General features: G+C 35.7%; 1 protein-coding gene across 7 annotated transcripts in view; it reads left to right on the top strand.

Annotated features, from left to right (window-relative positions):
* GRIP1 (glutamate receptor interacting protein 1) overlaps nucleotides 1–18385 on the top strand; it is a 721908-nt gene that overhangs the window by 209507 nt on the left and 494016 nt on the right. The gene's annotated exons all lie outside the window — the stretch shown is intronic.

The following is an 18385-nucleotide window of genomic DNA, read 5'->3' as shown; positions in this document are numbered from 1 at the left end:
CCCAAGTGCAACTGGTGCTGCCTGCTAGTTAGTGTTCATCAGGATGTTGAATAACACAGCCCTGCAGCACCCACAGAGCACTATTTTTAGGAATTGCCCAGATTGACAGTGATCTCTTCAAAACCATTTTCTGAGGTTAATATAGTTGTAATTACCTACACTTATATGATACTGCTTGTTTTGTCTAAGTTCATTTGATGAGTCTCCCATAGAGAATGGAATTAGACATCCCAGTAAGATAAGGGATGGCAACTACTTTTTGTTCCTGTAGATTAGGAGGATTGTTGCTCAGTCTGAGAAAATTATTTTATTCAGAGTCACTTTTTTTTCTACTTGTATTATTTATTTATGTAGTGTACTTACCTGAAAGCATAAATTAATATTCGAGTTTGAATAATGGTTTAGAAGCAGAATCATGTGCAGTTGGCAAAAATGAAACTTGCTTCTTGTGAGGAACTTATGGACCATACACAAATGCTAAAGGAACTAAATAGCTTCTATTTCTGTGATGGCTAATACTGGTTTTTTTTTGTTTTTTTGTTTTTTTGTTTTTTTGTTTTTTTGTTTTTTTTCAGAAAATGTGGAGAATATGCTAGTCTTTTGGGCCTCATTTTGCTATTTCCTGGCAATTTGTTGCGTTTAGTATTTTAGAGTCAAAAATGGTTTTGCTTCTGGCTTATTTGGCTGATATCAATGGTGAATTCACATTCCTTCATATGGCTCATATTCCCAAATGTGCAAAGTGTGGTGTAGGGTATGGTAGAAATTGTTAGGAAAAAATACCTGGACAGATTCATAGGGATTATGTAATAGGAAAACTAAGCCAAAAAGCCTAGTCATGATGGGTATAGTGATCATTTGTTGATGGGCAAAGTTATCTCATTCTTTAACGGAAGAGCTCTGATACATCAAAATTTTCCCATAACCAACAACCACAAAAAAGTCACCAAATTAATGCTAAAAATACTAGATCTTTTTTCCAGGATGATATTTTTCTCCACTTCAATTAGTATTTCCCTCATATCCCCCTCTCCCCCCATACCACTAGCTCATCTTTAATTCTTAATATTTCTTAATTTTGCTTCACTTCCATGTCTCCTTGGAGTAGAGGATTTTCTTTTAAATGCAAAGAGGATAGAGGTGAGGTGATAGCAACTCCGAAAGAAGCCTATTATAAATTCTGTTGGATTATTGTCTCAACACACTTTCAAAAGTGGACTCTTGACCACTTAAAGTTTTACCCTTATCTTTCTTTATAGGAAAATGAAGTGTTTCCTAGAGAAACAGTAGACACTATTACCTAGTATTCCATCTGGGGGAGAGTTTTAGTAGCTAGAATCTGCAAAAAAAAGTCAAAAAATGCCAAGAAACACAAGTCAATTTGAGTGATTTTGAATAATTTATATTTTTAAGAGTAGTTCCAGGATATATCATACAATAGATTCACTTTCATCTTAATTTCTTAAGCATAAAAACTGAGTTATGAAACCTATGGTGTTGAAAGTAAATTCTTGCAAAGAAGCAGTAAGAGTGCCATATATTATATATATAATTTTCTATACTTTTATAGCGTTGTTTTAGTAAAGAGCATACAGACCATTTGGAAAATTAGAAAAATGATCTCTTATATATACAGTAATCTCCTAACCATATTATTAAATTATGGAGAATATCTATTCCTTTACCATGCTGAATAACTTCATAGTACTGAAAGTGAAGACATACATTAACACCCCACCCTCAAAACAAAAAAACATGGTGAATATTGTTGAGAGACTTGCCCTGGAAAGCATGATCAAAGGAAAGGTAGGCAGTGTTTCCTCTATAAACCTCACACTCCTGAGATACTGAGCTACCAAAAGCCTCCAAGGTGCTGCACCAGTTCACACTTCTGTGCTCGACATTAATATGGCTTTACCTGTAGTTTCAGACACTCCATCATCTCTGCACACTTGATAAGCTTGTACTTATCCTTCAAGACTCAGCTCAAGTGTCCTCCAGTCTTTGAAGCTCACTGATCACATCTCTTTTCCTCTTTCTATGATAGCTTACTACTCTTATTCTTGTCTCCCTATTTTGAATTTATATGATGATATGCCTTACCTCCCTGCACCTCAAAATGAGCTCCTTGAAGTCAGGAACCACATTTTATTCATTTATATATCCTCAGTGCCTAGAGCATAGATGGAAAATACCCAGCACTTAACTTATGCCTCCACTCTTCAATTCTGTGCTTGAGGAAAACATTGCAAATTGTTCTTTTTTTTTTTTTTTTCCTGAGACTAGCCAGAGCCCCATAGTATTTCTGAACTCCACCCTAGAGATAGCTGCTTACTACAGATTCACTGTGAGTGACACATTAGTTTCAACTTCCTTGCTACCACTGGCCTAACAAAACACCTGGCTCACAGTAGTTAATCATTACTATTTTTAATGTGAAAATTATATTAAAATAATAAAATCCAAGCTTTGGTTTCACTTTTTTATTATTATTATACTTTTAGGGTACATGTGCACAACGTGCAGGTTTGTTACATATGTATACCATAGTCGTCATTTAACATTAGGTATATCTCCTAATGCTATCCCTCCCCCTTCCCCCCACCCCACAACAGGCCCCGGTGTGTGATGTTCCTCTTCCTGTGTCCATGTGTTCTCATTGTTCAGTTCCCACCTATGAGTGAGAACATGCGGTGTTTGGTTTTTTGTCCTTGCAACAGTTTGCTGAGAATGATGGTTTCCAGCTTCATCCATGTCCCTACAAAGGACACGAACTCATCATTTTTTATGGCTGCATAGTATTCCATGGTGTATATGTGTCACATTTTCTTAATCCAGTCTATCATTGTTGGACATTTGGGTTGGTTCCAAGTCTTTGCTATTGTGAATAGTGCCGCAATAAACATATGTGTGCATGAGTCTCTATGGCAGCATGTTTTATAATCCTTTGGGTATATACCCAGTAATGGGATGGCTGGGTCAAATGGTATTTCTAGTTCTAGATCCCTGAGGAATCACCACACTGACTTCCACAATGGTTGAACTAGTTTACAGTCCCACCAACAGTGTAAAAGTGTTCCTATTTCTCCACATCCTCTCCAGCACCTGTTGTTTCCTGACTTTTTAATGATCACCATTCTAACTGGTGTGAGATGGTATCTCATTGTGGTTTTGATTTGCATTTCTCTGATGGCCAGTGATGATGAGCATTTTTTCATGGGTCTGTTGGCTGCATAAATGTCTTCTTTTGAGAAGTGTCTGTTCATATTCTTCGCCCACTTTTTGATGGGGTTGTTTGTTTTTTTCTTGTAAATTTGTTTGAGTTCATTGTAGATTCTGGATATTAGCCCTTTGTCAGATGAGTAGATTGCAAAAATTTTCTCCCATTCTGTAGGTTGGCTGTTGACTCTGATGGTAGTTTCTTTTGCTGTGCAGAAGCTCTTTAGTTTAATTAGATCCCATTTGTCAATTTTGGCTTCTGTTGCCATTGCTTTTGGTGTTTTAGACATGAAGTCCTTGCCCATGCCTATGTCCTGAATGGTATTGCCTAGGTTTTCTTTTAGGGTTTTTATGGTTTTAGTTCTAACATGTAAGTCTTTAATCCATCTTGACTTAATTTTTGTATAAGGTGTAAGGAAGGGATCCAGTTTCAGCTTTCTACATATGGCTAGCCAGTTTTCCCAGCACCATTTATTAAATAGGGAATCCTTTCCCCATTTCTTGTTTTTGTCAGGTTTGTCAAAGATGGTTTCACTTTTGATTTAAGTATTCTGTTGGAGTTGAATCTAGAAATGCTATAAAATTTTCTGGGCTCACAATCACTGAGATTCAACTATCCCTTTTTTTTAATTTTTATTATTTAGAAAAACTCTGATTTAAATAAGGTTAAACAGGTCTTTTGCATTGCAAGATGTATCAAAACTTTTATATGTCAGAGAGGTTAGAAGTCTGCATGAAGAGAATAAAATATTCAGTGTTTCACAAACTTATAGGAACAATAAAAGAATATCTTATGGGATTAGTGTTCCCCAGAACCCACTTTGGAGAACACTGTTGTGGCAGAATCTAGGTAGTTCTGTTCATGTCTCCAGCACACTGTGTTATTAATATGTTTATATTTAGTTATTAGCATTGGGGATAATGAGAACCACAGGCTTTTATTTTTTGCTATCTTAGAAAGTTAAAAGATCTACAATATCCTTGTAAAAACATGGAAAAAATGGCTTCCTCTATTGCCTTGTTGATTTATAAATGCTTTGATCTTTGAAAATACACTCTAAATTATTGTTTTTATCTTTCTAAAGCATAAAGAGAAAGGATTAAGTGATATGAATCAACAGATTTGGATGCAAGGGCCCCAAGTCTGAGATTCACACACTCCGTGAAAGTGTACTTGTCGTTCCTTTTCATGACCCTAAGTTTTCTCATCTATAAAGTGGGAATATTGAATCCCTGAAGTGGGCATACAGACACAAAACAAACAATGCAAAGATGTATTCTTGCTCTACATAGTTCCAGCTATAACACTCTGAAGACTATTTTTTTTCTAACCAACTTGCTTAGAGGGTAGTTTGATTTTGAGAAAATAGTGATGTCCTTCAAAGTGACTTAATAGCATTTGATTGGTTATATAATGTGCCTCATGTGTACAATAGCAGCTGATAAAGCCTAATACTTCCAACTTAGGCTTAATGACCTGGTAATGTAGTTTGAGACATTTGATTACTAGTTTGGTTTCTCCGCTAGACAGCTCCCCACTCCTCACACACGCCAATAAATAAATAAATAAATAAATAATAAGCAGATAGAAAAGGAAGAATAGCATGAAAACATCACTTCAAGTAGTAATGATGTTGACAAAGATGGACACTGTAATTTAAGAGTAAGTAGTTTCTCTTTACAAAGAGCCATGGGATATGAACTCAATAGTGAAAGTATTTGGGGTTTCTCTATGTTATTTGCTGTATAGGGTAGTGTGTATAGTAATGTTGGCCCCATTTTACATATTCCTCTTATATCAACACTGACTTCTATCTTAATTTATAAGAGCATCCATGTATTAGTCATGAAGCATGGGTTGTTTACGTTTCATTTTGGATTTTGTGCAACATGGTGATATAGTTGGAAAAATTGGGGTTTGCATACCAGGCAGCATTTTAATTCCTGTCTTACTATTATACTTACCAACTGTGTAATCTTGCTGAATCACTTAATTTCTCTAAGTCTCTATTCCTCAGCCATGTATTGGAGATAATGAAGTCTAAGATTATTGTGAGGATTCAATGAGATTATAAGAACCTGGCATATAATAGCTGCTTATTAAATTCTAGTTCCAGCAAAGCCCCCCTCCACACCATTCCTAGAGTAACTAACATAAAATATTTATCTAAATTACACTGAAAATCCTTCAGAAGCTCTCATTTTCCTCAATCCAAAACTCCTTATTGAGGCGTACAAGGCTGTCTGTGAGCTGGCTTAATTTAGTCCCTCACCACCATTCTCATCTTTGTAATCAGTCACCCTAAACTTACCTCTCCTTTGACCTTTATGCCCTTGCTTGCTCCATCCTGCAACTCCTTTCCTCTCTGGGAGGCCTTCCCTGTCTCCTCCTCACCCTCGCCTGTGTGTCCTCTGTCTTGTCGCACGTTTTCATTTTGATACAGTCTGTTTATCTGTCTGTCCCCTCCCAAGATTGCACATTAAAGGTGCAAACTGTACCTTATTTATATTCCTAGTGTTTAACAATTGGCATCTAGAAAGTGCTCAATAAATCTCCTGCTCATAAATTCTCCCTTACCTTATTTTTTTCTTATGCCCATCAACCCAAAGAGAGTGAAAAGATTCATTATTTATTAACCTTAATAGAGTCAGACATATTTCAGTGAGCTTGTGAATCAGAAAAATAACCTATTTTTAGTATCTATTCTTTAAAAAGATAATTGTGTATAGGTTTGAAAAATTCATTGATAGGAACCAATCATATTCAAGAATTGTCAAATTATATCCTTATAAAATTAAGTGTAACTGAACTTCAGATATTTATATCTTTCTGCAGCCTCAATATAGTGTTTACTCGTATTAATTTGCTAAGGGTTCTCTTATTAGAATACATGCCAGTAATTGTTGGTACACACTTGATTTGGGATTTAACTTTGGCTCATGATTTATAAATGTATAAGTGAGAAAAAGACATTTCAAAATCTTATATCTTTATAAACGTGGTGTTCAAACTGCTGGGGAGCAGCTTGGATTCTTCAGAATGGGGTTGACATTTATAAAGATGCAGAACTCCTGTGCGGCAGCAGATTTAATTATTACTTAAGAGCAGAGTTGTTAAAATGGCTCCCTCAGATACTTGAGCTTTTGATTATGTAAGGAGAAAAAAAGATAAATTTTCAAAAATGAAGTTCAGTCAAACAGTTTGCCCTGCTAGTTTCTCTATAATTCATTTTGGGTATGTCTTTTACATTTGTTATAGAAATGAAGCCGTATATCTAATGCATCACTGGCTGCTGACAGATGATAAAGGCTTAGGAAAAAAAAAGCTTGCCCCACATGAGAAAGATTTGGGAGTATTTAAGGAACTATTGGAGCATCCTGAAAGTTCACAAGCTCCATGCAACTTAGGGATTTAAAATCTCCGTTTCCTGGTGTTCATATAAAGAAACCTCTTCTGCTTGAGAATTACAGTCGGAAGAAAAAGCTCCTCACGTTTGGTTTATGAGACATGCACTCCAAGCTCATAACATCTTGGTTGTCTGTTACTTTTCATGCTTATTGAGGGAAACTTAAACAAGGAGAATAATTGCCTGAGAGGGTTAAGATGTGTTCTGCTAGCTTGGCATGTTTTACTTACTCTTATGCTTGCAATAAATGGAAGCTGGTCTGTGTTAGAATGTGAGTCTATTCTCCAAAGGCATATATGCTGATAGCACTAATGATTTGCAATATTTAACAGTAAAACTGTTTTACTTGCAGTGACTCCAGGCTCTGAATTATAAATGGAATCATTTTATATCTTTTGGCATTAGGAGAAATACATGGGAATTGGCCCAGATTTCCCATTAATAATGTAACAAGTAAATGTTTCAAAATCATTAGAGTTGACATCTCTATTTAATTGGCATTTGGAAAATACATTTTATCAAAATATATATTTATAAAATATATGTAAATTTATACTGATTTGAAGAAATCCAGATTTATTTTAATTGATGGAATGTTATATATGTACATATATACATATATACATATACCTGTATGCATATACATATATACATATACATATATACATATATACATATACATATATACACATATATATGTGTGTATATATACACACTTTGTTAGTGTGTCTAATCATTTTTTTATTTTTTGGGGTGTTTAAAAATCTTTCCTAACTAAACTCAGGTGGTACTAAGAGATTATACTCTACTCGAATCTCATTCTAAATGACATTTTTAAAAAGTTTGACCTCAGTTTGAACTTCTTGGGAGGGCTGCTAACTGAGCACACCGAGTAAATCTTGGCCTCTTTCCTGCTTTAAAGCAAATCATGCAATTTTGGAAAGATATCAAATTTGTATGTGAAAAAAAATTTCCTGGCACAGTTAATGTAAAATATAATTTTTATGACTAAAGTAGGTACAAAAAGATTTCCAGAAATGGAAGAATGAATTTGTATTTTTATAGACATCTTTCTTTACAGCCTTAACTCAGTCCCCTTCAAAAGCTCTATTTATAGAAGACTGTAAACCCCTAAAGTTCAATTGGATTTTTTAATTGAAATTTTATCCCATCAATTTATAGATTACAACTATAATGGATGATGATGTGATGAGGAAAAGGAATATTAATTGTGCCAAAATCTGAATTGTAAATATTGTGAACTATCATGACAGGTTGGCTTTTGATAAAGTTTTATGATCTGTAAAAATGACAGAACTTAAAAATTACAAGTGATTTGGGATAAAAGAAAAGGTGCTCAGCCTTTTTAACACTTTGCTTATTTACTACAAAGAAGAAACACCTTTAAAATTCAGAGAATGAAGAAATGAGGATCCAAGATCCTGCTTAGCCATACACTATCAGAGGCTTGGTTAAGTTACCCAGTTTCCACAGCTAAGAAGATGGAATTGTGGGATTTTAGAGCTGACAGGACACTTAAATGAGCCAATTTGTAAAATGGAGAAACTGAGTTCAGAGAGGTAAAGTTGGCATGCCCAGGTCACTGAACTGATTAGTGACTGTGCCTTCTGATTTCCATGGCATCATGTTTACTTCTAGAAAGGTCCAGCTGGTAAAATCTTACAAATTAGCACTGAAACCTGCACGATGAAGATTTGGTTAGCTGTTTGCAGTATAAAAAGGCTATATAAATTTCAAATGTAATTGTAATAAAACTCTATATTTTGGCTTTGGGCTGCTGAGCTCTTGGATAGACAGCTGTTCTAGCCATGATAGCATTTTCCTGCCTCTAACTTCCTCTTTTATAGTAGAGCAACGTACTTACCAATGTTCGTGCTTTTACTGTGCAGCCCCGTCTCCACTTTCCAGATGTCCTGTGTAGGAGGTAATGGTGTTGTAAAGGATGCCGTCTTTCAGATGATGAAGCTTTTGAAAAGGAACAGCTAATGCTTACTAACATATTACCTCTATGGCCTCTATTCCCAAATTTCTCTTGCCTTTCAGCTTATCCTTTGTTCTCAAGAAAATTAGGGGTGATTTAAGCAAAGGAAAAAGGGGAAGAAAACTGACATTTATTCAGCGCCTACTATTTGCTGAGTATTTACCTCAAATCACTTTTGGAATGAAGTCAGTATAAATCATTCAATCAATAAAAGATCCCAGATATCATACTAGATACCTTAGCTGCATTATTAGTTATTGGGATAAGAAAGTCCAGGCTCAGAGATGTTAAACGAGGGAGTGAAATTTAAAAGCCAAGAAGCCCAAAAGAGGAGACATTACCAGGAGAGAGGTCACATTCATATTAATGAGAACAAACTAATCTATCAGTTGATAGATATATTAGCCGTGTGTGTATGTGGTTACATGCTGGCTGATACCTATCTGAAAATAGTAAATAAATATATTTACTTTTTTATCAGAAAGATGTACTTTTGAGAAAATGTGCTCTGAATTTCTTTGTTGGTCAACTGTAGTGCCCCTTGTAGGAGTGTATCTGATGTCCTACACATCTAAGAGGTACCTCTTGGTGTTCCTAAGAACATCCTCTAGTTTCAGTGAAAATGTTCAATTAGTTTCTATTACATGGCTTTCCCATTTAAGGCCAATATTGCATCAAGATATGTGACTTCAAGATAGAAAATGTGAGGTCCATTCTTATAAAGTGTTAAAACCAAACAACATAAAAACTTTGCAACCTGAAAATACAGTAAGTTGATGGTTTACTAAGTCTTACAATACAGTTTCATTATTCAACAGAGGAACATTCTAATCCAGAAGTATTCCAACATCTTGAAAATGATGTACCCACCTCAGGAACCCACATCTGGATTCATAAGAAGCACTGTATAAAAGAACTAAAGTTTAAATTGCTTCATGATTGCCCAGGGGTGTAGGTAGCTTCCTAGAGGAATAATGTATTCAATGGATAAGCTGTTACCTTACCCTTAAAATCGTTTTCTAAATTCTTTTTTGACTCTTAGATTTGTAATATAACTCATCTCCCCTTTTGTCTCACTTTGCCTTTCTCTTTAACCGATTACCGTTCTGTTTAGCTATATGTGCTCTGGGTTATAAAGTGTAAGTATCTCCATAAGTCAAACATGGAAAAGGGACTTAAGAATATTTTCTGGACCGATATCCTTCATTTTGTAGATGAGGAAAGAGGAAACTGTGGCACAGAAAGACTGAGAAACTGGGTTGGAGCTCTCCAGCTGCAGACCGACAGAGCCAGAAATTGAACTGGGCTCCTATTCATGTGCTTTCTCCACTAGAATATGTTTACCAGCCAAAAGGTAGCTGGTCCTTGAAAGTGAAGAAGGGGGACAGATTGAAGATGTAGGAAATATTTTGTTTCTTTCAGGTCAGGTCTCTTTACTCTTGGGCTAGCCCACATGCCTTTTAGAAACCAGGTAAACATTTATGTATTTATTTCATTTGATTCAGCAAATAGTATGGGCTTCACATTGCTATTGAGGTGGGGGTGAGGAAGGAAGGTAAATAAAAGGATTTTTTCATTTTTGTTTTTTGAGACAGGGTCATGCTCTGTCACCTAGGCTGCAGTGTAGTGGCACAAACACAGCTCACTGCAAGTCTTGACCTCCTGGATTCAGGTAATGCTTCTGCCTCAGTTTCTCGAGTAGGTTGGATTACAGGAATGAGCCACTGTACCCAGCCAAAAGGATTTTTAAGATCTAACAGAATTTGCAGTATCATTAGGTAGTGAAAAATAACATGGATTGCAGTGTTAGATAATAAAAAGGATGTTTCAAAATAAGTGATGAAGTAGATGTTTAGAGAGAAAGGAATTGATGCTGGCTGGAGTGACCTGTGCAGGCTTCACGGAGGAGGTTTGGATGTGAGATGAGCCTTGTAGGAGATGGAAGAAATGGTTATGGCCAGATAGAAGAGGACAAGGTCTCCTTAGCAGGAAGGAGCAAGTGTGAGTGAGTCCAGCACTGAGGTATGAATTGTAGCTGTCCAAGGTAGAAAGCTCATGCCAGGGAGAAGAGGTGCTGCAGAAAGAGTTCAGATTTTTGTCTTGCGGGCTGTTAATATGCTGGATGCAGAAAAGTGACAGAACTGTGCTTTAGGAGGATGAACCTGGCAGCAATATGCAGGATGGAGTACAGTTGGGAGAACCTAGGTGGATAAAATGCAAGAAATAGTGAAGACTGGGCCTAGAAAGTTTCAGAGACTTGCAATCAGAATCCCATCCCGGAAAGCAGCCCATCAATTGCCATCCTCTCATTTATAAATTTGGGACTGTGACCAAGAAAGTTGATGTGAATTCCTCAGTATGACACAGAGGTTGGTGAAGGAACTGGGTAGAGTCAGAATACCCATAATTTGACTCTCAATCAGTTTTCTTATTTTTTCATTTAAAGAAATACAAAATTTTGAACCTAGGGAAAAAAGTGCCTTTGAAATGAATTTTAAAAGTTGAGTAGGGAGTTGTAATTTGAGAATGCAGTGAATTAGGTTTTACTGTTTATTTAAAGTTTTGACTAAATGAATAGAAATGTCTATATAGCTCATTGTTTTATGCCATAGTTTAGATATTATTTCTCCCAGGAAACCTTCTGTGACCCATGAATTCAGGTTATTTTACCCTCCTATGTATTTTCAGAGTACCCCAGAATTTACCTACCATAGATTTTCCATGCTGGGTTGTAATTGTTGGATGGTCAGCCACTCCTTTGGATTGTCAGCTCCCCACAGATAGGACTATTTTCTGTCTTATTCACTGTTTTATTCCTAGGGCCCTGTATAGTGTTCATCATAGAGGAAATGTGCAGTAACTTCTTGTTGAAGTACTGAATGACTGACTCACTTTAATGCATTAATGTTAGGAGAAAGAAGAGAGAGAAGAGGAGTGGAAAGAGAGAGGGAGACAGGGAAAGAGCCAGGGAGAGAGAGAGAAAAGAAAGGGAAGGAGGGAAGAAGAATGAGGAAAAATGATTAAAGATTTAGAAATGAAAGAACTGAAGATTATTACAAATTTCAACTTGGCTTTGTGTTGTTCTACAAAGCCCACTATTGATTTAATATGATGTTAGCATTACGGTATTTGAAAGTCGGATATGATATAAAGCATAATGCTTATGACTGGTCCTATCCCCTAGTAACATAAATCAAAATGTTCAAGTTAATGAGAGAAATTATGACCAATGCAAGAATCAAAATCACTTGCTGCCTTTTAAATAAATGTTTTATCTAAAACAATGATAATGTGCCAACAAAAAGGAAATTAAAACACATACTCATATCCAGTATCTGCAGTTTAAATGCTGTAGGAAGAATTTCATCTTGAAATGAGTTTTTAACTACCATTTTACCATTTACCCAGCCACCATTGGGTCTTGAGGGTGTTTATGAATCTAATGTGTGTGTCAGACACATTCTAAAGCAGAATTTGTGGCTATATTCACTCATAAAGTTCCTAGGAACAGGGATTTTTTTGAACAGAAAATTTTTATTATAAGACTCAATCAAATTTTAACATGTCTACCTGAAACCTACTCTTCATATGAAATCGGCCATTTTACCTTCAAAGTTCACATTAATGACATACATAAGTACTATATGTGTAATGGATAGCAACATCTGATTAATACAAGTTAAATAACATTATTCAATTTGCCAAATAAAATTAAAGCATATAGCTGGAATTGATTAAAGATGTTCATCAAGCCCCTTACAACTAATATCTTCTCAGCAGGAAGTACCTTTTTGTGAAGTAAATAACAAATTATATACATATATAGACAAGACCTAAGGTCTGTGGCTAGAGGAAGCAAGGTGCAGCTGTGCCTGGGAAAGTAGGAAGGGACCAGATCATTCAGGGGTTTGTAGCCCTGTTAAAAAATGTTGTATTTAAGAAAACAGGAAACCCCTAAAGGATTTGAAGCAGGGGTGAAGGAGTTGACAGTGGAAGAGAATGACAGCTGGGACACTTTTAGGAGGCTATTGAAGTCAACAGTGCAGGTTCAGATGGCTTGTAATACAGTTTTTAAAATGCTGTTTTGCCTTGGTTTTGAGGCAGTGGCTAGAGGTCAGTGGTTTCCCCTTATGGAGCAGCTGATTAATTCCACGCCTCCATCCTTCTCCCTTATTGGACTTTCCTACTCTGGACTACTATCCACCTACCCTACTTATGCCAGGGCCAGATGCCAGACAACCAGGGAAGCCACTATGCTCCAGAGTCCACTGATGTCATTCAAACTAGCCAGTCCTAAGCCTCTTTAGCCTGCCTCCCTCATCCTTTCCTATGGAAACCACAGTAAAGGCTCCTGCCTACAGGTCCCCCCTCTTCCTCTGCCCCGTGGCTGACCCAGGTGTTTCCCCACATGGCCCCCTGTGGTGTGACATGTACTCCTTTCTTGGGAATTATAAGTAGAATAAATTGTCTTTTAAAAACTACAATGTTATTGAGGTAGAATTGATACACAAAGTCTGCACCTGTTTAATGTATACTATTGGATGATTTTGGCCATGTGCACACACCTGTGATACTATCACTACAATCAAGGTAAGAAACATATTCATAGCCTCCAAAATGAACTATTTTTTCGGTGTTAGTCATCTCCTGATCTTTTGGCTTTGCCATACCTAAATAATCGTAAAGCCTATTAAAACAATGCTGGACCAGGTTAGTGATGAGACAGCAAGAAACTGGTGGATGCAGAAATATTTAGGAGATAAAATCAACAGAATTCCATGACAGATACTGGGGATAAGAGAAATGTGGGGATGAAGATGACTCATATTTCTAGCTTGTCTAAAAGGGTCCATTCACTAAGACAAAACTGGAAGAGGCCCTGGATTGTGGGATAATTTCAATTCGGAGCATGTTGACATTAGGGTGACTTTGAGATGTTCAAGGGAAAATGTCAAGGAGACAATCAAATGTACAGTTTAGAACTGGTGACTAGATCTCATTGAAGAAGGAGGGTATAGAGTAGACTTTTAAAAATCTTAGCAAGTGAAAATTATAAATGATAGTAATCACCAAAGATGGCAGTCTTCAAAGCCTCTTGATGAGGAATACTTCTTGCAGGGAGGGAGATGTGAGCATTGTTGGATTGAAGCAAGAGAATAGCGGGCATGAGAAATAGTGTGAATCAAGATTCAGAAGCACAATGTGTGATGCAAATTTGGACAATGATGAATATTCCAGTTTAATGGAAACAGACAGTTTTTCTGGGAGAGGAGTAGGAGTAGAGGTTTAGACTACCTAGACACCAAATTATTCCACCCTCGAAGGACTGGTAGGTAAGGAGTTTATTACATGCCAGTAGTCCTTTGTGCACTTCATTAAGAGAATTATATAGAGTCCTCTTGTTCAGGCTTTTCTGTCTTTCAGAATAGATGTTCCTGCAAGATAGAGATTCTCCTTGACCTACTGATTATACTCAGCTAGTATAAAGAGTATTAATGTTTGAGGCTCAAAAGATTAGTCCAACATTATTATGTTAATTTTATTTCAGTTAGCTATCAAAGATACGTTGTAAGTCTGCAGTGTACCCAGATCATAGAACTCAGTCCCTGAGCCCACAAAAATTACAGTTTTCTTGGGAAGACAGAACTTTAAAATGATTTAAATAGAAGTGGAATGCAAAAATTAATACCAGAAAGCATGTATTATCAAATGTTCCTATATTTATCTTTTGTTTTGTTTTGTTTGAGACAGAGGAGTCTCACTCTGTCACCCAGGCTGTAGTGCAGTGGCCTGATCTCGGCTCACTGCAACCTCTGCCTCCAAGGTTCAAGTGATTCTCCTGCCTTAGCCTCCCGAGTAGTTGGGACTACAGGCATGTGCCACCACGCCTGGCTAATTTTTGTATTTTTAGTAGAGTTGGGGTTTTACCATGTTGGCCAGGCTGGTCTTGAACTCCTGACCTCAAGTGGTCCACCCGCCTTGACCTCTCAAAGTGCTGGGATTATATTTGTGAGTCACCATGCCCAGACCCTATATTGATCTTTAAACATTTTTATTGTGCATTTCTTTCTTTATTTTTAATTGTAAAATACATAACATGAAATTTGCTATCTTAACCATTTTAAGTGTACAGTTCAATAGTGTTAAGTATATTCACATTGTTGTACAACCAATCTCTAGAACACTTCACCTTTCAAAACTGAAAGTCGATGTCCATTAAGCGCTAACTCATCATTCCCATCACTTCTCAGCCCCTGGCAACCACCATTCTATTTTCTGTCTCTATGAATTTGACTATTCTAGAAACCTCATATAAATGGAATCATGTGATATTTCTTTTTTTGTGACTGGTTTATTTCACTTAGCATAATGTTCTCAGGGTTCACCCATGTTACAGCATCTGTCAGAGTTTTCTTCCTTCTTAAGGCTGAATAATATTTCATCATATCTAAGTATCTATGTACACATATTATTTGGCAGTTCATCCATTGATGGACATTTGGGTTGCTTCCATCTTTTGGCCATTGTGAATAATGCTACTGTGAACATGGGAACAAATATCTCTTTAAGACCCTGCAATCAATTGTTTTCAGCATATACCCAGAAGTGGAATTGTGAAGCACATAATAACTTTTAAGTTTTTGAGGAGAAGTCATATTGTTTTCCATAGTGGCTGTACCATTTTACATTCCCACCAGCAATCCATAAAGGTTCCAATTTCTCCACATCGTCAGCAACACTTGTTATTTTCTGTTTCTTTGTTGTTGTTGTTGTTCTTGTTGATAGTAGCCATCCTAATGGGTCCAAGGTGGTATCTCATGGTTTTGATTTGCGTATTCCTAATAAGTAGTGATGTTGAGCATATTTTCGTGTGCTAATTGGCTATTTGTATATCCTTGGAGGAATGTCTATTCAAGTCTTTTGCCCATTTAAAATCAGGTTGTTTGATTTTTGTTGTTGAGTTGTAGGATTCTTTATATATTCTGGGTAATAAGTAGTGATGTTGAGCATATTTTTGTGTGCTAATTGGCCATTTGTATATCTTTGGAAGAATGTCTATTCAAGTCTTTCACCCATTTAAAATCAGGTTGATTTTTGTTGTTGAGTTGTAGGATTCTTTATATATTCTGGGTATTAACCCCTTATTAGATACATGATTTACAAATATTTTCTCCCATTCCAAAGGCTGACTTTTCAATATGTTGATTGTGTTATTTCATGCATGGAAGCTTTTAATTAAGATGTAGTCAATTTTATCTATTTTTACTTTTATTGCTTATGTTTTTGGTGGCATATCCAAGAAGTCATTTTCAAATTTAATGTCATAAAACTTTTTCTCTGAGTTTTCTTGTAAGAGTTTTATAGTTTTTGCTGTTATGTTTAAATATTATATCCATTTCAAGTTAATTTTTATATATGGTGTAAGGTAAGAGTCCAGCTTCATTCCTTTACATGTGGATATTGTTTTCCCAATGTTATTTGTTAAAAAGTTTTTCCTTTCCCCATGAAATGGTTTTGACACCCTTGTTGAAATCATTTGGTCATATATATGAGGGTTTATTTGGGCATTCCTTATTCTGTTTTATTGGCCTCTGTGTCTTTCTTTATGCTAGCACTGTTTTGATTACTGTAGCTTTGTAATAAGTTTTGAAACTGGAAAGTGTGAGATCTTCAGATTTGTTAGTCTTTTCATGATTGTTTGTATTTAATGCAATCCCTATTAAAATATCAACAGTGCTTTCTGCAGAATTTGACCAAAAAATCCATGCTAAAATTCATATGGAATATCAAAGAACCCAAAATAGACAAAACAATCATGAATAAGGAGCTCCTAAATAAACCCTCACATTCAATTTCATTCTCATATTCAATTCATGAATATGAGATACCTTGTCATTTATTTGTGTCTTCTTTAATTTCTTCTGGCAATGTTTTTTAGTTTTCAGTGTACAAGTGGTTACATTTATTTCTAAACATTTTATTCTTCTTGATGTTATTATAAGTAGAATTGTTTTCTTTATCCTTAAGCATTTTTTATTAATTGAGAAATGGTAGTATACTCTTCAGGAACTGGCTTAGGAGGTTTGATCTTCAGTCTTTTTGCTATTGTTTTCTCTACACTATTACTAGATATTTTCTCAGGTTCTTTTAAGGTGTTTTCTTGACAATTTTAGTTTAAAGCTCTTTTAAACAGATGAATTAATCTCTTTTCAAATACAGATGTATATGATATTTTGACAACTTTAACAACCTTCATTCTATTATATCAAGGGGTCCTACAGACTATACCTTTTCTTTGATCCTAAAAACGTAAGCAGCTGATGGCTTCCTGTACTTTATTGTTTCAGTTTCCAGAGACACACCTTACACATGGAAATAAATAAAAATGCATCTTTGACCCTAAACTCAAAAACATTGGTTTATTGATTCATTAATTAATTCATTCAGCATCAATTGAGTATCCATTATATGCTCAACACTGGAAACTGATGCAAAATGTTATTTCTTACAGTATCAGAGACATCCCTATCAGTCCCATTGGGCATTTTTGTTTTATCTATACTTTTGTTATGACTTTTCTAGTTTCTTATCCCCAAAAGATATACAAAATAATGTTTTCATAATAGCAAAAATACTAATAGCAAATATTGAGCATTCATAGTGTGTCAGGCACTATGTAAGTGTTAATACTTACTGTTAACTCATTGAAGACTCATAACAACACCCAAAGGAAACTGAGGCAGGGAGTGCTAAAGGCCACACAACAGTGAGTGGAGATGCTGGGATCCAGCAGACAGTCTGCTCCAGAAACAGATCTTACTAAAATGAACAAGTTTGATTAACCAAATCATGATATATCCTTCCAATATACAATTGTATTGGTAACATTTATTCTATATTGTATATATAAAATTTTATATAGGATATAAAATTATACATAACAATAAGATCTTGATTATATGAGTTACGTATAGAAGAGAACTAATAGGAAATACAAAAATGTTATCAGCAGGTATTATAGATGTTTGTTTTTTTCTGGGTAATTTTATTCATTTAAAATGTTTTTCTATCATGGGCATATACTTTTAGTTTTTAGAAAAAGAATTTATACAATATATATGTCCTCAATAAGGGGACTGACATCAAAGTACTTGAAATTAATCTCCATAATGGGAGGGCATAGGGGCAAGGGTAGATAAATCATTGCTGATCTTACTTTGGCAAGTGAAAATAGCCAGGGTTATGAAGCTTATAGAAAACTTTGGTCCTATGTTTTATTTTTAAAATCTGTATTTTTATTATGTGTGTCTTTAAGTATTTTGCCTACTTTGCCTTTGTAAATGTGATTTACAGAATAGGCAAATATAAGCCTTGTGCTAGGCATTTGTGAAAGGAGGATGTTTACCCCAAGATGCCCCCGTGAAGCGATAAAGGCTTCTTTAGGTTCTAGGTATGGCTCCTCAATTTCTGGTGGTGTTGCTTTGTTTTGTCAGCTAACTGTGGCCACCTTTATGGCCACACCTTTATATTTCATGAAACCCCACTTGAGACTTGAGATTTGAGCCCAGCTTACAAAGGCAGGAGACTGAGCTCATACCTATAGAAAATAACGTAGGGAATTGAAGAGCATGCCTCAAAAATATGTATTGAAGAATGCCTTGAATAATCAAAAAATGCTGTGCAGTGCCCTGCTTCATCTCACATCTTTGTGTTTTAGAATTACTTTAAACAATGTTTGCTTATTAGATGGTGATAT

This window comes from Homo sapiens, chromosome 12 (assembly GCF_000001405.40).
Source record: "Homo sapiens chromosome 12, GRCh38.p14 Primary Assembly".
Classification (NCBI taxonomy): domain Eukaryota; kingdom Metazoa; phylum Chordata; class Mammalia; order Primates; family Hominidae; genus Homo; species Homo sapiens.
The sequence above is the reverse complement of the archived record's forward strand: the minus strand, read 5'-3'. Positions and strand labels throughout refer to the sequence as shown.